This window comes from Homo sapiens, chromosome 11, assembly GCF_000001405.40.
Source record: "Homo sapiens chromosome 11, GRCh38.p14 Primary Assembly".
Taxonomy (NCBI): Eukaryota; Metazoa; Chordata; class Mammalia; order Primates; family Hominidae; genus Homo; species Homo sapiens.
The window spans coordinates 23,728,581-23,750,573 of NC_000011.10; the positions used below are offsets into that span (position 1 = coordinate 23,728,581).

The 21,993-nt window shown below is 36.7% G+C and overlaps 1 long non-coding RNA gene across 2 annotated transcripts; it reads left to right on the forward strand.

Annotated features, from left to right (window-relative positions):
- The first annotated feature begins 406 nt into the window (after window positions 1–406).
- LINC02726 (long intergenic non-protein coding RNA 2726) lies at window positions 407–21,395 on the forward strand. Of its 2 annotated transcripts, none has more exons than XR_931129.2 (3): window positions 407–2,306; window positions 3,020–3,078; window positions 21,253–21,395. It is a non-coding gene; the product is annotated as a long intergenic non-protein coding RNA 2726 (long non-coding RNA). The 2 variants fall into 2 exon arrangements; XR_931128.3 differs by lacking the exon at window positions 21,253–21,395 and adding an exon at window positions 3,441–7,133.
- The last annotated feature ends 598 nt before the right edge of the window (window positions 21,396–21,993 follow it).

The window sequence follows — 21,993 nt, forward strand, 5'->3', positions numbered from 1 at the left end:
AATTTACTGCTATTGAGGATATACTATAGTGAATTATTATATATTAATTGTGTATTGTGGAATAATGTGTATTAATACACTATTGACCTCAGGCTAAACCACACATACACACACACACACACACACACACACACACACACACTCAACATTCTTAAATTTTTAAAGAAAAAAAATGTAAAGAAAAATTGGGTTGATCTGCCTTAAAGTCAGACTCTATTGTCTTTTTGCTTTATGACTTTGGAAAAGTTAGAAAACTTTAATGAGTTTCTTTCTCTTCTTTATGTAGTCATTAAAAAGATCTTAAATATAAAAAGAATATAGAAGTTAGTGCTCCTGGTGAAAGAACATAATCAGTCCTTGAAAATTAATGAGAAAAAAATCATCTGGAGAATCTCCAATCCAGTAGAATTTAGCAAGTACCACAGTGAGTTAAATTCCAAGTAAAGTGGAACTTCTGTTTAAAACCCATGGTACTTAGGTTTTTAATAAGTGTTTATTAGGAGAATGAATAGAGTTCATTGTAAGAGAAGAGGTAAAGAGAATAGGTGTATAAAAACTAAGGTCAAACTCATTATACATATTCAGAGTTTACCCAAGAAAAAATAACATTCCACAGGGTAAGTTATTTACAAGGAAAGTCTTCTTGATGCAATTAGCCTCTGTGATTCCCAATCCTATTAGCCTGGACTCTTAGCGTGATTGCATGGATTCTCCTGATGTCATTCATCCAGGATAGGGTTTAAGTTTTGCAAAGAGCTGTTGCTCAGCAATGTTTGATTAAGTAAAGTACAAATGCTGTAGTGCTAAGTATCTGCTTAACAGTTGGATCTTTAAAGCTTTTGTACTAACTCTTTGAAGCCATAAAGTCAATTATGGATTTGCATATCCCCATGATAAGACAGTGAGACTGTCATGGATGATGAAAGGTTATGGCCTTATAATGCCCCAAGAAAAGAAGACTTCTGCTAAGAGACAAAGCTGTACCAGAGTCGAGGGTATAATTCTTCAATCCGCTAAAATTACAAAAAATTTCAAAGTATCACTTCAGATCATTTTTCAAGATGTGCTTGTTGACCTTCTAAATTAGATGGTATTTTTCTACTTTCAGGAAATGAACAACAGGCCCAATAATTTCGGAGTGATTTATGAGTATCCAATGCAATGGCACACTATGGACAGACTTTATGTGAACAAATCTGAAAAAAAAATAGTTTGTTCTGGTATATCTTGGGTTATCATAAGCCACCACACCAGAACAAAAACTGCTTCTTTTTATAATAAAGCTTCAAAAAGGAGATTAGGTATATTTGCTTCAAAAATAACAATTTGAATTTTTTAATGAGATTTATTTTTCAAATTTTATTTTTCAAAATAAAGACCACCAAATGCCTCATTCTTATAGGAAATCTAAATAGAAAATATACAAAACATAATAACTCCTATCATCCAATCCCGGCCATTCTGAGTCAATTACTGATGCATTTTCATTCAATTCTTTTCACGTGCTGAGTCTCACTTGAGGAAAGGGACCCGCGTTATGGAGTTGGCAAGTGCCATTATAGCCTCAAAAGTGCAAGAGTACATTTCTGGGTGCTGTTCACTCCTGCTATCGTCTTTCATCACTCCCTTTAGTGTCTGCCTCAGGCGGATCACCTTGACTCTTTAATCAAATTAAGATTTCAAATGCCATTTCTAAAACTTTTTTTTTTTTTCAAACGCTATGTAATCAGGTGACAGACATCCGCCTGCGACAGGACATCTGCCTGCGACTCAAAACATTCGAGAGTTTTTCCTGGTGAATTCAGTCTCACTTCCTGCCAAAGTAAACGAGTTCCTGTGCTGGCCGTCCCGCCCCTCCGAATCCTCGGGAGAAGCGGGACTAAAGGATCAAGCTGAAGTGAATGTGTAGCCCTGTGACCTCAGCGCGCGGGGGCGGGGCGATCGCCGGACACCCCCGCCCTCCCCGCCTCCAGCGCGAGTGACAACCCGGTCTCTGGCTCTGGAGCTGCGGCGCGGAACAAGCCCCGCAGGGCCTTCCCTGGCCGCCAACACACCACTCCCGGAGCTGATTCCCTGTGCCCAGCTCCTTTCTTGGCGAGGCTTCAGTCCCTTAGTCGGCCTCAGTCTGTCCACCTTCGGAGAGGTCTGAGCGCTAGCCGGAGACAGGTAGACACCGAGAAGTGACAGAACCCAGAGGAAGCTGGAGAGAGGCAGCGAGGAAACGAGGGCCCGGCGGGCAGCAGCATGAAATTCAGCCCAGTGCCCTACCTGCTGCCTCTCCTGCCCGCGCTGGTCCTCAGCACCAGGTGAGTCCAGGATCCTGAGTGACCTGAGCCCAGGGGCGGTGTCCGGGTAAGGTGGGTCCTACTGCGAACCACCAGGGGTCAAAGGCACTCAGTGAACTCTGAATTTCCTTCCTCGGTTAGAGTTTCTATGATTAGGACTCTAACACACTACAGCAGCAAAGGCCTTTTGGAGGAAATCTCAGGACTGCTTCCTGTGTGCAGGGACAAAGGTTTTTTGTTTTGTTTTGTTTTGTTTTCCTACCAAAAGCAACACGTTTTTCTCCAGCGCTAATTGTATTGAACATGAACTCCGCAGATAACAGAGAACAAAGAACTGAAATACAATCAAAATATCAAGAAGGAAATAGTCACCAAGCATTGCCCTTAGACTGGAGCTGTCTCAGTCACAGAGCCCTCCCAATACCGGTGTTTGATTTTAGGGTATAAGGAGCCAGAGATGACAGATAGGTTCTGGGATATGTGTAACCTTGTTGTTTGTTTGTTTTTAATGTCTCCGGACCTCTGAAATGACCTGTTTCAATGTCTGGAAGAGGCTAAATGGTGAGAGAATGCATAAGTTTTTATGTTTCCTATAAGCCAAACTAAAAAAGGAGCGACAGAGACAATTTACAGTTAGAAACTCTTCCAGAGTACTGATACTCTCTTAATGACTCCAGATGGGACTTTTTAAGGTATTATTTATATATAAAAAAAATACGTTTTTTCCCGGGCAGATGGCCAAATAGGAACGGCTCCGGTCTGCAGCACCCAGCAAGACCAACGCAGAAGGCAGGTAGGTGATTTCTATATTTCCAACTGAGGTACCTGGTTCATCTCATTGGGACTGGTTAAACAGTGGGTACAGCCCACAGAAGGCGAGCAGAAGCAGGGTGGGGAAGCACAAGGGGTTGGGGAACTCCCTCCCCTACCCAAAGGAAGCCATAAGGGACCCTGCCATGAGGGACCGTGCCGTGAAGGACCATGCTATCCAGCCCAGATACTAGGCTTTTCCCATGGTCTTCGCCACCCACAGACCAGGAGATACCCTTGGGTGCCTATACCACAAAGACCCTGGGTTTCAAGCACAAAACTGGGCAGCTGTTTGGGCAGACATCAAGCTAGCTGCAGGATTTTTTTTTTCTTTTTGTACCACAGTGGTGCCTGGAACATCAGCGAGACAGAACCATTCACTCCCCTGGAAAGGGGGTGGAAGCCAGGGAGCCAAGTGGTCTTGCTCAGCAGATCCCACCCCCACGGAGCCCAGCAAGCTAACATCCTCTTGCTTGAAATTCTTGCTGCCAGCACAGCAGTCTGAAGTCCACCCGGGATGCCCGAGCTTGATAGTAGGGAGGGGCGTCTGCCATTACTGAGGCTTGAGTAAGCAGTTTTCCTCTCACAGTATAAACAAAGCTGAAGGGAAGTTCTGGCTGGGCAGAGCCCACCACAGCGACCCAAAGCTGCTGTAGCCAGACTGCCTCGCTAGATTCCTCCTCTCTGGGCAGGGCATCTCTGAAAGAAAAGGCAGCAGCCCCAGTCAGGGGCTTATAGGTAAAACTCCCATCTCATGGGACAGAGCACCTGGGGGAAGGGGCACTTGTGTGTGCAGCTTCAGCAGACTTAAACATTCCTGCCTGCTGACTCTGAAGAGAGCAGTGGATCTCCCAGCACTGTGCTTGAGCTCTACTAAGGGACAGGCTGTCTCCTCAATTGGGACCCTGACCCCCGTGCCTCCTGACTGGAAGACACCTCCCAGCAGGGGTCGACAGACACCTCATACAGGAAAGCTCCGACTGGCATCTGGCGGGTGCCCCTCTGGAATGAAGCTTCCAGAGGAAGGAGCAGGCAGCAATCTTTGCTGTTCTGCAGCCTCCGCTGGTGATACCTAGGCAAACAAGGTCTGGAATGGACCCCCAGCAAACTCTAGCAGACCTGCAGAAGGGGGTCCTGACTGTTGGAAGGAAAACTAACAAATAGAAAGGAATAACATCAACATCAACAAAAAGTAGGACCGCCCAAAAATTCCATCCGAAGGTCACCAATGGCAAAGACCAAAGGTAGATAAATTCATGAAGACGAAGAAAAACGAGCCCAAAAAGGCTGAAAATTCAAAAACCAGAATGCCTTTTCTCCTCCAAAGGATCACAACTCCTTGCCAGCAAGGGAACAAAACTGGACGGAGAATGAGTTTGACAAATTGACAGAAATAGGCTTCAGAAGGTGGCTAATAACGAACTCCTCCAAGCTAAAGGGGCATGTTCTATCCCAATGCAAGGAAGCTAAGAATCTTGATAAAAGGTTAGACGAATTGCTAACTAGATTAACCAGTTTAGAGAAGAATATAAATGACCTGATGGAGCTGAAAAATACAGCATGGGAACTTGGTGAAGCATACACAAGTATCAATAGCCGAATTGATCAACCAGAAGAAAAGATATCAGAGATTGAAGATCAACTTAATGAAATAAATTGTGAAGACAAGATTAGAGAAAAAAGAATGAAAGGGAATGAAAAAAGCCTCCAAGAAATATGGGACTATATGAAAACACCAAACCTATATTTGATTGGTGTATGTGAAAGTGACAGGGAGAATGGAACCAAGTTGGAAAACACACTTCAGGGTGTTATCCAGGAGAATTTCCCCAACCTAGCAATACAGGCCATCATCCAAATTCAGGAATTAGAAAGAACACCACAAAGATACTCCTTGAAAATAGCTACCCCGAGACACATAATCATCAGATTCACCAAGAGTGAAATGAAGGAAAAAATGTTAAGGGCAGCCACAGAAAAAGGTTGGGTTATCCACAAAGGGAAGCCCATCACACTAACAGTGGATATCTCTGCAGAAACCCTACAAGCCAGAAGAGAGTGGGAGGGGGGGCAATATTCAACATTCTTAATGAAAATAATTTTCAACCAAGAATTGCATATCCAGCCAAACTGAGCTTCATAGGCAAAGGAGAAATACAATTTTTTTTCCAGACAAGCAAATGCTGAGGGATTTTGTCACCACCAGGCCTGCTTTACAAGAGCTCCTGAAGGAAGGACTAAATATGGAAAGGAAAACTGGTACCAGCCAGTGCAAAAACAAACCAAAATGTAAAGACTGTCAACACTGTGAAGAAACTGCATCAACTAATGGGCAAAATAATCAGCTAGCATCATAATGACAGGACCAAATTCACACTTAACAAACAATATTAACCTTAAATATAAATGAGCTAAATGACCCAATTAAAAGACACAGACTGGCAAATTGGATAAAGAATCAAGACCCATCAGTGTGCTGTATTCAGGAGACCCATCTCATGTGCAAAGACACACATAAGCTCAAAATTAAGGGATGGAGGAAGACTTACCAAGCAAATGGAAAGCACAGAAAAGCAGTGGTTGCAATCCTAGACTCTGATAAAACAGACTTTAAATCAACAAAGCACAAAAAAGACAAAGAAGGGCATTACATAATGGTAAAGGATCAATGCAACAGGAAGAGCTAACTATCCTAAATATATATGCACCCAATACAGGAGCAACCAGATTCGTAAAGCAAGTTCTTAGAGACCTGCAAAAAGACAGACTCCCACACAATAATAGTGGGAGACTTTAACACCCCACTGTCAATATTAGACAGATCAACTAGACAGAAAATTAACAAGGATATTCAGGACTTGAATTCAGCACTGGAACAAGTGGGTCTAATAGACATCTCCAGAACTCTCCACCCGAAATGAACAGAATATGCATTCTTCTCAGCACCACATAGCAGTTATTCTAAAATCGGCTCTATACTTGGAAGTAAAATACTCCTCAGCAAATGTAAAATAATGGAAATCATAGCAAACAGTCTCTCAGACCACAGTGCAATCAAATTAGAACTCAGGATTAAGAAACTCATTAAAAAACACACGACTACATGGAAACTGAACAACTTGCTCCTGAATGACTACTGGGTAAATAACAAAATGAAGCCCTAAATAAGTAAGTTCCTTGCAACCAATGAGAACAAATACACAATGTACCAGTATCACTGGGACACAGCTATAACACTGTTTAGAGGGAAATTTATAGCATTAAATGCCCACAAGCGAGAGCAGGAAAGGTCTAAAATAGACACCCTAACATGACAATTAAAAGAACTAGAGAAGCAAGAGCAAACAAATTCAAAAGCTAGCAGAAGACAAGAAACACCAAGATCAGAGAAGAACTGAAGGAGATAGAGATGAAAATCACTTCAAAAAATCAATGAATCCAGGAGATGTTTTTTTTTTGAAAAGATTAACAAAATAGACCACTAGCCAGACTAATAAAGAAGAAAAGAGAGAAGAATCAAATAGACACAATAAAAAAAGATAAAGGGGAGATCACCACTGATCCCACAGAAACACAAACTACCATCAGAGAATACTGTAAATACCTCTATGCAAATAAACCAAGGAATCTGGAAGAAATGAATAAATTCCTGTATACGTATATCCTCCCAAGACTGAACCAAGAAGAAATCAAATCCCTGAATAGACCAATAACAAGTTCTGAAATTGAGGCAGTAATTAATACCCTACCAACTAAAAAAAGTCCAAGACGAGAAGGATTCACAGCCAAATTCTGCTAGAGGTACAAAGAGGGGCTGGTACCATTCTTTCTAAAACTATTCTAAACAATAGAAAAAGAGGGACTCATCCCTAACTCATTTTATGAGGCCAGCATCATCCTGATACCAAAACCTGGCAGAGACACAACCAAAAAAAAAATTTCAGGCCAATGTCCCTTATGAACATTGGTACAAAAATCCTTAATAAAATACTGGCAAAACAAATCCAGCAGCACATCAAAAAGCTTAACCACCATGATCAAGTCGGCTTCATCCCTGGGATGCAAGGCTGGTTTCCCATATGCAAATCAATAAATGTAATCTATCACAAAGAGAATCAATGACAAAAAACCACATGATTATCTCAATAGACGCAGAAAAGGCCTTTGATAAAATTCAACACCCTTTCATGCTGAAAACACTCAATAAACTAGGTATTGATGGAACATTTCACAAAATAATAAGAGATATTTATGACAAACCCACAGCCAATATCAGACTGAATGGACAAAAGCTGGAAGCATTCCATTTGAAAACTGGCACAAGGCAAGGATGCCCTCTCTCACCACTCCTATTCAACATAGTATTGGAAGTTCTGGCCAGGGCAATCAAGCAAGAGGAATAAGAAGAGAGGAAGTAAAATTATCTCTTTTTGCAGATGACATGATTTTATATTTAGAAAACCCCATCATCTCAACCCAAAAACTTCTTAAGCTGTTAAGCAGGTTCAGCAAAGTCTCAGGATACAAGATCAATGTGCAAAAATCACAAGCATTCCTGTACACCAATAACAGACAAATAGAGATCCAAATCATGAGTGAACTCCCACTCACAATTGCTACAAAGAAAATAAAATACCTAGGAATACAACTTACAAGGGATGTGAAGGACCTCTTCAAGGAGAACTACAAACCACTGCTCAAGGAAATAAGAGAGGACACAAACAAATGGAAAAATATTCCATGCTGATGGATAGGAAGAATCAATATCATGAAAATGGCCATACTACCCAAAGTAATTCATGTATTCAATGCTATTCCCATCAAGCTACCATTGACTTTCTTCACAGAATTAGTAAAAGCTACTTTAAGTTTTATACGGATCCAAAAAAGAGCCCATATAGCTAAGACAATCCTAAGCAAAAAGAAAGATGGAGGCATCATGCTACCTGACCTCAAACTATACTATAATGCTACTGTAACCAAAACAGCATGGTACTGGTACCAAAAAAGATATATAGACCAATGGAATAGAACAGGGGCCTCAGAAATAACACCACACATCTAGAACTACCTGATCTTTGACAAACCTGACAAAAACCAGCAATGGGGAAAGGATTCCCTATTTAATAAATGGTGTTGGGAAAACTGGATAGCCATATGCAGAAAACTGAAACTTGACCCCTCCCTTACAGCTTATACAAAAATTAACTCAAGATAGATTAAAGATTTAAACAAAGACCTAAAACCATAAAAACCCTAGAAGAAAACCTAGGCATTACCATTCAGGACATAGGCATGGGCAAAGACTTCATGACTTAAAACACCAAAAGCAATTGCAACAAAACCCAAACTTGACAAATGGGATCTAATTAAACTAAGAGCTTCAGCACAGCAAAAGAAACCATCATCAGAGTGAACAGGCACCCTACAGAATGGGAGAAAAATTTTCCAATCTATCCATCTGACAAAGGGCTAATATCCAGAATCTACAAGGAACTTAAACAAATTTACAAGAAAAAAACAAACAACTTCATCAAAAAGTGGGTGAAGGATGAATCAGACACTTCTCAAAAGAAGACATTTATGCGGCCAACAAACATATGAAAAAAAAAGCTCATCATCACTGGTCATTAGAGAAATGCAAATTACATCTACAATGAGATACCATCTCACGTCAGTTAGAATGGCGATCATTAAAATGTCAGGAAACAACAGATGCTGGAGAGGATGTGGAGAAATAGGAACGCTTTTACACTGTTGGTGGGAGTGTAAATTAGTTCCATAATTCTGGAAGACAGTGTGGCGATTCCTCAAGGATCTAGAACTAGAAAAGTCATTTGATCTAGCAATCCCATTATTCAGTATATACCCAAAAGAATGTAAATCATTCTACTAGAAAGACACACAAACGTATACTTATTGCAGCACTATTCACAATAGCAAAGATTTGGAACCAACCAAAATGCCCATCAATACTAGACTGGATAAAGAAAATGTGGCATGTATACACGACACAATACTATGCAGTCATAAGAAGCAATGAGTTCATGTCCTTTGCGGGAACATGGATAAAGTTGTAAACTATCATTCTCAGCAAACTAACACAGGAACAGAAAACCAAACACCACACGTTCTCACTCATAAGTGGGAATTGAACAATGAGAACTTATGGGCACAGGGAGGGGAGCATCACACACCGGGGCCTGACGGGGGTTAGGGGGCAAGGGGAGGGATAGCATTAGGAAAAATACATAATGTAGATAACGGATTGATGGGTGTGCAAACCATCATGGCACATGTATACTTATGTAACAAACCTGCATGTTCTGCACAGATATTTGAGAACTTAAAGTATAATAATAATAATAAAGAATATATACTTGAAAATGTAACAACAACAACAAAAAATACAAATTTTAGTTGTACAGCTGAAGGAGTTTTGACAAGGTATATTAACACAGAATATTTACATCACCCCAGAAATTACTCATGTGCTCCCTTTCCGGCAAAACGAACTTAAAAGTAAGCGCTTTTAAAAATTCCAGTCCTTATAGTTTAAATTTGCCTGTTCTTTTCATTTATAGGAATAGAATCATACAGTATATATGATTTTGTGTCTAGCTTCCTTCACTTAATAAAATATCTCAGATTCATGCATGTTTTTCAATCAGTAATTTACTACTTTTTGTTGCAGAGTGGTATTGCATTGTATGACAAAACCTTAAATTATTTTATCATTTTATTTGTTCATGACAGTTGGATTATTTTCACTCTTTGCCTTTTATAAAATAAAGTTGATAAGAATATTCTTGTACAATATTTTTGTAGATATTTGTTTTCAATTTACCCTGGGAGAATATACATAATATGTATCTTATGTGAATTGCTGGGTGGTAATATAGGTATCGTTTAACATTAAGGACCACAGGCCACATGGTTTTGGAAGTAGTTGCACCATTTTTTACTCTGATCAGCAACATATGTTAGATCTAGCTGCTCCATATCCTTGACTACTTTTGGTATTTCAATCTCTTTAATTGTAGAAATTCTAGTCTATAGTATGCATTTTCCTGTTATTTCTTGTGCCCTCTCCAAAGCAGACTTTTTTTTTCATCTTGAAGAAGTCTCATATTCATTTTTTTTTGTGGTTAGTTCCAAGTTTGGTGAGGGTATTTTCAGAGATTCTGTATTCTTATGTATTTTTCATCTTCTTGTTTTATTGATTACCAGAAGAGGAAGATAAAAATCTCCAACTATGCATTAATAACTTAGTACTGTCGGGGGGAGGGGGTAGGGATAGCATTAGGAGATATACCTAATGCTAAATGACGAGTTAATGGGTGCAGCACACCAGCATGGCACATGTATACATATGTAACTAACCTGCACATTGTGCACATGTACCCTAAAACTTAAAGTATAATAATAATAAAATAAAATAAAATAAAATAAAATAAAATAAAATAAAACAGTACTGTCAATTTTTTCAAAATGGTTTGTGAAATACTTTCTTGTGGGACATGTATTTTTAGATTGTTTTTTGATGAATTAATCATGTTACCATTATGACAGAAACTTTTCTTCCCTCTGGGACAGTTACTTACTTTATGTATTTCCTCCAATCAACTCCAGGCATTAAACAGACACTTATTGCTTAGAGATGGTGCATGGTGCACTAAGGTAGGATGAAAATGTTCCTAACCTGTGTCTCTGGGAGGAATGTCAGAGGGCAAAGGGCGGCATGAATCCTTTGACTTTTTTTTGCAATTTCAAGGATTTTGTACATATATATTTTTCTAGGCAGATCTACTTTTTCTCCAGAAAACTTCTGATTTTCTTACACTAAAAAAAAATGTACAACTGAAGCAATATTCTTAAATCTTAAAATAGAATTTGTATGGGGAATTTCTTTTTAAAAATTTTTATAGATTTAAGGAGTACAAGTGCAGTTTTGTTACATGAATATATGGAATAGTGGTGAAATCTGGGCTTTTAGTGTAGCCGTCACCTTATAATATACATTGTACCCATTAAGTATTTTCTCATTCTTTATCCCTCCCACTCTCTAGCCCTTCCAAGTCTCCTGTACCTATCATTCCACACTCTCCATCCATGTGTACTTATTTAGCTCCCATGATAAGTGAGAACATTGATATTTGACTTTCTGAGTTGTTTCACTTAAGATAATGGCCTCCAGTTTCATCCAAGTTGCTGCAAAGGAAGTCATTTTATTCATTCTTTATGGCTAAGTAGTATGCCATTGTGTGTGTGTGTGTGTGCGTGTGTGTGTGTGTGTGTATGATACGGTTTTGCTGGGTTCCCACCCAAATCTCATCTTGAATAGTAGCTCCCATAATCCCCTAATCCCCACGTGTAGTGGGAGAGACCCAGTGGGAGGTAATTGAATCATGGGGGCAGGTTTTCTCATGCTTTTCTGATGATAGTGAATAAGTCTCCATGAGATCTGCTGGTTTTATAAAAGGCAGTTTCTCTGCACATGCTGTCTTGCCTGTTGCCATGTAAGATGTGCCTTTGCTTTTCCTTTACCTTCCATCATGATTGTGAGAACTCCTCAGCCATGTGGAATGGTGAATCCCTTAAATCTCTTTTTCTTTATAAATTACCTAGTCTCAGGTATTTCTTCATAGCAGTATGAAAATGGACTAATGCAATATATGACTTTTTATCTAATCATCCATTGAGGGACACTTAGGTTGATTCCAAATCTTTGCTATTGAGAATAGTGCTATGATAAACATAGTATTGCAAATATCTTTTTGGTATAATGATTTCTTTTCTTTTGGGTATTACTCAGAAGTGGCATAGCTGGACTGAATGGTAGTTTTACTTCTAGTTCTTCCAGAAATCTCTATACTATTTTCCATAGAGATTTATTAATTTACATTCCTACCAACAGAGTATGCTACCTTTTCTCCACATCCTCACCAACATCTGTTGTTTTTTTGCCTTTTTGCACATTCTAACTGGCATAAGATGGTATCTCATTATATTTTAATTTGCATTTTTAGATGATTAGTAATGTTCAGCATTTTTACTTGTTTGTCAGTTGCTTGCATGTCTTCTTTTGAAAAATGTTCACGTTCTTTGCCCACTTTTTAAAAGAGTTGTTTTATTTTTTCCTCATTAAGTTGTTTGAGTTATTTACAGAGTCTGGATATTAATTCTTTGTTGGATGCATGGTTGGCAAATATTTTCTCCCATTCCGGTTGTCTGTTTACTCCGTTTATTATTTTTTTTGGCTCTGCAGAAGGTTTTTAGTTTAATTAAATCTCATCTATCTATTTTTGGTATTGTTGCATTTATTTTTCCAGGTCTTAGATATAAATTTTTGCCTAAGTCAGTGTCCAGGGGAGTTTTTCCGAGGTTTTCTTCTAGGGTTTTTACAGTTTGAGGTCTTACATTTAAGTCTTTAATCCATCTTGAGTTAATTTCTGTATATTGTAAGAGATCGGGGTCCATTTTCATCCTTCTGCATATGGCAATCCACTTTTCTCAGAAGTATTTACTAGAGTGTCCTTTCCCCAGTGTATGTTTTTGTCAATTTTTTCAAAGATTAGTTGGCTGTAGGTGTGTGACTTTATTTCTAGATTTGCTATTCTGTTCCATCGATTTATGTGTCTATTTTTATAGCAGTACCATGCTGTTTTGGTTACTATACCCTTCTAGTGTAATTTGAAGTTAGATAATGCAATATCTCCAGTTTTATTCTTTTCACTTAGGATTGTTTTCAATATTTGTGTTCTTTTATTCCTCCTTAAATTGTTTTTAGGATTGTTTTTTCTCAGTCTGTGAAAAATAATGTTGATATTTTGATAGAAATTGCATTGAATGTATAGATTGCTTTGGTCAGTATGGTCATTTTAACAATATTGATTCTTCTGATCCATGAGCATGGAATATTTTTCCATTTGTTTGTGTTGTCTACAATTTCTTTCATCACTGTTTTGTAGATTTTCTTGCAGAGATCTTTTACCTCGTTGGTTATATCAATTCCTAGGTATTTTATTTTTTGTGTGTGTGGCTACTGTAAATGAGATTGACTTCTTGATTTGGTTTTCAGCTTGATTTTTATTGATGTATAGAAATCCTACTGATACATGTATCCTGAAACTTTACTAAATTTATTTATTGAGCCCTAGGAGTCTTCTAGAAGAGTCTTTAGATTTTTCAAGATATAAGATTATATCATCAGCAAATAGAGATAATTTGACTTCTTGTTTTCCAATTTGGATGTCTTTCATTTCTTTCTCTTGCCTGATTGCTCTGGCTGGGACTTTTAGTACTATGTTGAATAGGAGTGGTAAGAATGGGCATCTTTGTCTTGCTCCAGTTCTTAGGAAAATATTTTTATGTTTTCTCCATTCAATATGATATTGGCTGTGGATTTGTCCCATTCTGTTTGTATTAATTTGAGGTGTGTTCCTTCTATGCCTAGTTTGTTGAGGAATTTTATCATGAAAGGATGTTGAATTGTTTCAGATGCCTTTTCTGCATCTATTTAGATAATCATATGGTTTTTGTTTTTAATTGTTTATGTGATGAATCACTTTTATTTATCTGCATATCTTAAACCATCCTTGCACCTCTAGAATAAATCCCACTTGATCACAGTGTATTATCTTTTTGATGTGTTGTTGGATTTGACTTGCTAGTGTTTTGTTAAGGACTTTGACATATATGTTCATCTGAAATATTGGTCTGTGGTTATCTTTTTTGTTGTTATGTCCTTTTTTATCATTGGTATTAGGGTGATACTGATTTGTAAAATGAGTTAGCTAGGATTTTTTTGGAAGAGTTTCAGTAGGATTCATACCAGTTCTTTGTGCATCTGGTAGAATTCAACCACGAATCCATCTGGTTCTTAGCATTTTCTTTTTGTGGGGAGAGTTTTATTACTGATTCAATGTAACCACTTGTTATTGATCTCTTCAGGATTCCCATTTTTTTTTCTGGTTCAATCTTGAGAGGTTGTATGTTTCCAGGAATTTATTCATTTCCTCTAGTTTTTCTAACTCCAGCCACTTTGCAACTAGGGCTACTCACTACAAACTAATCTTCTCTAAAACTTTAACACTGCTTTACTATTGAAATTTTTGTTCTACAGTTTATACCTCAGCTGTTTTTTATAGCCTCAATTATCCCTTATTTTTTGTCAAGATAAAATTTAAAACACATTTAAACAAAAGATATTTTATGTATTCCCCTTTATTTATTTATTTGAAAAGTAAAAATTGTATATATTCATGGTGCTTAACTTGATGTTTTGATATATGTATATATCGTGAAATATCAAAGTAAACTACTTAATATATGCATTACCTAACATACATAGTTCTATGCAAGTTATTCTACAAAATGGGAGCTGAATGTCCATTAAAATTATTTATATTCTGAAAGCAGATGAGGTATATTTATTGAAAATTGCAAATGCAATGACTGTAGATCTAGATCTTTGTGACTTTTGATTAAAGCCCAGAATTCATGAGAGGCTTACTTTCCTTTCAAAAAGAAGAGCCACACAAATTTGAACTGTTTTACCCCCAGGGCTGTCTCTCTTTACTCTGAATACCTCGTTATTGCCAGAAACTCCTTTTTTTGAGCTAACAATTTAAAGCAAAATAATTCTTCAAAGATAGAACTTGCATGAATAGAAATATTATATAATTATACTTTGGATAAAGCAGAATAAATAAAATAGAGTGAATATAAATATGAAATTTGAAAATGGGAAAATTCTATCATATATTTTGAAATGAAAATTTAGAACTTATGAATCCATCTCTAAGCCACCCAGCTATCACTCAATCTAACACACTGGGTTTTCCTTTTTTTTATTTTGAGACAGAGCCTCACTCTGTCGCCGAGGCTGGAGTGCAATAGTGCTATCTCGGCTCATTGCAAACTCCACCTTGCGAGTTCAAGTGATTCTCCTGCCTCAGCCTCCCGAGTAGCTGCGATTACAGGCACCTGCCACCATGCACAGCTAATTTTTGTATTTTTAGTAGAGACCAGGTTTCACCATGTTGGCCAGGTTGGTCTCAAACTCCTGACCTCGTGATCCACCTGCCTTGGCCTCCCATTTGCTGGGATTACGGGCGTCAGCCGCTGCACCTGGCCTAGGTTCTCCTTTTACTGTAAGGATTGTTGGATTTACTACAAGATTTTCTGATATATGTCTTACCTTGCACCTAAAATCTAGATGTTCTCCACAAATGAAAAGGGATGCCTCTAATTTACATTACTTTCTCTCTAGTTGCTTTTCAATAAATTTAATAAAATATAGATGGTTGAAAGAGAACACATTTGTTTCCTTAATATCTTTATAATTTACTCCATCTGTAGGCATTTCAATACTTTCAATTAGTTCTATAAGTACCATGCAAATTTTGAATCAGCTGTTTGTTGGAATTTTGTGCTCTTTTTCCTGGCTCTAGTGCTGAAACTTAATAATTACATGTTTATTTTTCTAGAGAAAAGAAATGCTCAAAATAGTGCACTTAGGCAGATACCTGTCAACGTATGCTTAAATGTATTTTCAAAATATAATTTGTAAACATAACAGTGCAGTAGTATTAAAGACAGAGGATATAAAATTCTTAGAATTGCAAGAATACATTTGCCTTTTGAACATGCTGTAATTTAACTGTCCCAGAAATCTTTTAAGTTTCTGACTGTCAAAATATTAATGATGGTTAAATTCGGCAAGGAAAAGAACCATAATCTTGTATTGCTGTTGTTTCTATAAGACTTTAATTTAAAATTTAAAATTTTTATTTGAACAAAAATTAGCATTGTCATTCACATTAGTTAATTAGGATAGGACACATGAATTTTAGATTATGTATGAAGACTGTGATGGGTTCTTCCTCAAATTGTCTTCCATTCATTGACAATTATCCACAAACAAAATGAAAATAAAATCAAAGAAGGCTCTTTAAGAAGCAAAAGCCAAATAAAGCATTTCTTGCTAGTATGGTTACTGTTAAATTATTTACATGGATTCCATAGCCCTTCATCACTGTGAGCAAATTTGAAAATCATATGGTGCTAACCGTGTATCATTTTGCAAGAGTAAATTACACTTTAATTGGCTGTAATGGAAGGAACTCTTTTTTTTCTTCTTCTTCGCCTGCTCTTTCCCCTACATCTCCTTTCTTTCCAGTTCCCCTCATTCTCCCATGCTTTTCCTTCATTGTTCTTATATACATTTAATTAATATGCAGACTAAAGTCTGAACCAGACAAATTTACAAGAAATATTGTAGTTGTAGGCAGGCAAGTTATTTTTCCTACTGGTAAAAACTGCTGAGCTTATCAATGGCCACCAGTTACAGGAGATTTTCTATCTTGAAACTTTTTTTTTTTTTTTTTTTTTTTTTTTTTTGAGACAGAGACTCGCTCTGTAGCCCAGGCTGGAGTGCAGTGGTGCGAACTTGTCTCACTGCAACCTCTGCCTCCTGGGTTCAAGTAACACTCCTGGCTCAGCCTCCTAAGTAGCTAGGATTACAGGCACGCACCACCACACCTAGCTAATTTTTGTATTTTTAGTAGAGATAGAGTTTCACCATGTTGGTCAGGCTTGTTTATCTCGAGAATTTTCAAACTTAAGTTGTTTTTGTAAAGCAATTCAATTGCCATGCCATGCTTAGTCAATGTTGTTTGTTTGTTTGGTTGTTTTTTTTTTTTTTTGGCGGCAATGTGGAGTTGAGGCTCTTGATTCAAAAACATATTATATCACTCAATATTTTGCTACATTTTCAATGTAGCTCATTTTCAATGTAACTTCATTTTCAATGAAGGCTCAATAGTGAGCCTTCAGCAAAAGCTAAGCATTTTTCGTTTTTAAATTAATAAATCCCATAGAGAGAAAGAAAGCTATTTAATCTTGACAACTGTCTCTTTCTCTAAGAAGATGGCCTGTGTACTCAGTAAAATGCAATTTATGACAAGAATAATGTAGCTAATATTGAAACTCATCTAACATACACACAAGTAACTGTGGTCAAAGAAAGTAAACGTGTCAGTTTAATACATGCAGCATAGAATAACTGTGCTTTTTAAATAATCTCATTCCTGTAAAACTATTAAATTGTTATTATAGGGCAGCCCATAATTCACTGCAGAAGGAAAGAGTCTGCGTATTGAAAAAAAGAGAGTAACACATGAAAACTTTTTTCAGTAGTTCTTGATGAAAAGATACCTATGGGATGCATGAGAAGGCTGTTGCTTTATTCTGCTGAACCTATGTTCCTTTATGTCATGGTTCTACAGTCTCCTTTGGTTTGTTAAATTTTAAGTGATTTGTAAAGAGAGACACCCAAGTAATGGAGCAAAATTCTAACTGTAGGTGATTTTGTGTCAAGCAAGCTGTTATATTTGGTCATAGTCCTCCCAATAGAAGTCACCATCAAGGGTCTCTCTTGGGCCCTCTGATCTTAAGTGACTATACAACATGTTTATTTGTATACTGTTTTAAAAATTGCTATATTTTGGTGATGCCCCAGGCTCCTCTTTTTCTGTCCGTTAATCTAAACTTAATATTAAGTAAATAAATCATGATTTTTAAACGAGTTCAAATTTAACTCCTCTGAAATAGTCTCAGGAGAATTTGAACTGGTTTTCTCAGCCCTATTCACAAAATAAGGCTGTCACACACCACTTCACGTGGCTTTATATACAATAATTTAGTTGTGGTTAGCTTTGTACCATGCTAAAGAGTGAGATTATGAATACTTCTTCCTGTATTTAGGAGATATATGTATGCCAGTTGTTTTGTTTGTTTGTTTCTTTCTTTCTTTCTTTTTTTTACTTTTCTGGAGAAAGGTTTAAAATGTTACTAATAGTATATACACATTTTCCTTTTTTCTCAAATCTGCCACTTCAACCAATTAAAATAGTAGTAATATTGTTTTCTCTTGCATTGTTTTAATATAAAATAAAAGCAAATTAAATTTCACATAAGAATTTGCCTTGAGTATCTTAACTGGTTTAATATTTTGTTTTGTTTTGCTTTTGTTTGTAATAGATGAAAAATAGGAGGTTTGAATAAGAGGTATACACTCTCACTTGAAAAGCCTAGGACATGGAAGAATGTGCAATGGGAGAAAACCATCAAATTACCTTGCTTTCTTTACTCATATGACATCATAGCAGGCATATCAAGTATCTGTGTTAAATTGTTGAGTATTTTTGCATATTTTGAAAGAAATAAAAATCTGATACATGTATCTGAATACCTGGCCTAAAAATATAAATGTAGCTCCAGACAATGTAAAAGTTTCTATAATGAAGTCCTAGACATGTGAAGTAAGTGGCAGCTTCTGGATCAGGAAGAAAGTCCTTTGAGGACAAGGTCTGAGTCTTACTATTCTTAATGCCCTGCATGGATCATTTTTAAGAGCCTGGCACAGGTGCTGCATACGTATTTACTTGAGGAAACAGCCAGGTGTTCTTTATTCTCAGCTGACCTCTAAATGCTATTTTTACTTCTAAGATGTTGTATCTGTTGGATTTTATATAATAAATAGGAAGAAGTTGATAGGTACAATAAATAAGAATCCCTGAGTCCCATGATCATACTTTTTGACAACAAGAAGCTCATTGGGCTTTTAAGTTGTATTTATAGTTATTGTCTTTTGCAGGATAATTATGATAAATTCCAAATGCATTTTACTTAATGAAACTATTTCTGATTTCTGACTTTGAGAAGCAAAGAAACACATTTAAAAATATGTCCTTGGCCTAATCATGCTTACTGTATCCAAGAGCCACTTAATTTATCTCCACAGAATTCTCTCTCTCTCTCTCTCTCAATCTCTCTCTCTTCTCTCTCTCTCTTTTACTCTGTCTCTTTAGATCTTTCTCTCTTTCGCTGTTAGTCACACAGACACATAGATATGCTCACCCGTACTTGCTTTCAAACTATTACTTTGACCATGTTTCCTTCTCAATCTTAACATGAAACATCTTCCTTCCTACTTTTTTCTGTCAATTTCTTCTTTATCTTTCAAAACTCAGATAAACTCAATGAATGTTTCTAAAACATCTTTCCCTGACCAGTTTTCAGTCAGAATCAGTTGTGGAGCATGAATCTGGTCTCTAATCATATGCTTACATGTGTATTGTCTTCTATGTATACTTATATTTACTCTTAAATTTAAGAAATATAATTTCTGCCTGTATTCTATGTCCCAGTAAACTATGCCTTATACATTCATCGTCCTTAAATATAGGACTCTAGGAAGTCTGTTCTTTCTTTTTAAAGAGACATTTTGTTTCCAGAATGCCAAGATATACTTCCTCCTACAAGATCAAAAATTAAAACCGTATGTAATTCCAGCACTTGAGAACTATTGCCATTTTGATGGAAACTTTTTACAATAATGGGATCATATAAAATAATTGTTTAATAATGAGTTGTGGGGCTGGGCGCGGTGACTCACGCCTGTAATCCCAGCCCTTTGGGAGCCTGAGGCGGGTGGATCACCTGAGGTCAGGAGTTCAAGATGGCCTGACCAACATTGTAAAACCCTATCTCTACTAAAAATACAAAAAAATCAGCTGGGTGTGGTGGCGGGCATCTGTAATCCCAGCTACTTGGGAGGCTGAGGCAGGAGAATTGCTTGAACCCGTTTGCAGTGAGCTGAAGATTGCACCATTGCACTCCAGCCTGGGCAACAACAGCTAAACTGCATCTCAAAAAACTAAATAAATAAAAATAATAATGATTTGTGATTGTATCTATATGTTAATTCACTTATCAAGTTTTAAATGTCTTGATATAAATCAAGCTCTTCATTTAGGATAATTATGAAACTGCAATTATTTTTTGAATTTGATAGTTCACATTTAACAATTTATTGCAATGCAGATTTTGGCAACGGTATTCAACCTATCAGGGTAGCACATTTATAATCCATATTTAGTTCCAGTTAAGGATTCTGTAACCAAGATTTACAAGTAAATGCAGCAAATGAGATAATATTATCTTAGTAGTTAAATGAGGTTTTACCTAATTTCTCTGGGTATCAGTTTTAGTTGACTTGGTTTTTAGTTCATGCTTGCATTATAACTTTTGTAGTATATACTAACTCTGGGCTTATTCAAATATCTCTAATCTTGGACCTTAGAAGCGGTTGGGGGAAAACAGTAGATAAAATGCAACTTTTATTTAAAATCATTTTGTTTAAACAACATAAAACAAAGATTTCTTAATTTATTCTCCTTATGTGAAAACATCAAAATGCTCCAGGTTAAGTGAAGCATAAGGAGAGGATTGAATGGATTTTTTGCTTGTTTGTTTATTACACGAATGAGTCAGAATTTAATTTACCCTAAACAAGAATATTAGACAAATACTGATATGTGATGAGAGTCTGGTTCTCAAATTAATTATCTTGGATCCTGGAGGTGCTTCAGGAGTTGAGCTGACCAGTTGTGTCATTTTCTATCAAGTCATGGAGATTTTATTTGCTACATTTCATTAGGAAAAATAATATAATAAAGTTTTAAAATAAAACATAGTTTTCACATTGTAATTCAAGTCACTATTACACACCTCTTACACGGACCACACAGTGTAATGGAATGGGACTGATTTAACCATGTATAGCCTAATTTGAAAAATGATTATGTTTATATTGCTGAAAATTCAAGCTGTTTTGAAACAGGCTGGTAGCAGAACTTCCTTTAACAGGTGAAACCTTTTTCATGGAAAGATTCTTCTCTATCAACTATTGGTACACCTAATTTAAACCTTATCTATTAATTTTTCTTTGCAGTTCTGAGGTTGAATCTATTATGTAGAGGCTAAGTAAATAATACTGAAATGATAACCCTTTCCCTGAGATACACTGTATATGATAATAGTGATGCCTTTAATGAGCAGAAAAGAGCAATGTTTGTACTTAGCTCATTAACTGTTTTAAATTCATTGGTACTATATCCAGAGAGAAAGCAAACTTTCAACTCAAATCACAGTTCCAAAATCAAATCAGCCCACCAACTTAATTATAAACTATTGAAAAGCATTTTTTCAAGATTAAAATGATAGGCAGCAGTGGGTTAGGTTTATGAGACTTTGAAAATCCTGACCTCAAATATCATGCAATATAAATATATTTTTTGTTAATTTGCAGGAGCCAAAAGGAAGCACTTCATCTTTTTATGATTCCCTGGTGTTATGATCTCAAAAATCACTTAAGCTTTACACATTTGACCCTGAATAAACTAGAGTTTACAAACCTTAAGCTGTGAGTCATGGAGCAGAGACAATTAAAGTGACCTTGAAAAAGAATGCAGAATCTTCTCCCTCCTTGGCTTTGCTGAGCTGGAAATATCTATCTTTTAGCTTTCAATATTTTTATATGAAATCACCAATGAATAATAACCTCTGCTGCAGGGAAAGTGTCCAAAAGTCTTGCTAAACCAAACTTTCCTTGATTTGATCAGGGCAATTACGACAATGTCATTTCCTGAAATATCTTAAACAAATGTAGATTTTGAACAACTATAAAGGCTAGTGAGCTCATAAAGGTAAGTGTAGCTGCAATTACCAGCGAGGACATCTTCTCCCATTCTCCACTGTTAAGGCAACACTCATTCTTCTTAGAGTAATTCATTAAGGATTTTTATTTGTTTGTATGTCAAATTGTCCCTAAAATTACATACATGTAATTTTACAGTAGATTACTTTTATAGAAGATGAACAAATGTTGACAGACAGACAGGTAGGAAGGTATGTAGGTAGGTAGGTAGATAGAGATAGGTAGGTACATAGATGATAGATAGATAGATAGATAGATAGATAGATAGATAGATAGATAGAGTAAACCTTTTTAGATATAATCCACAAAATTGTCTTTAAAAATGTTGAGAGC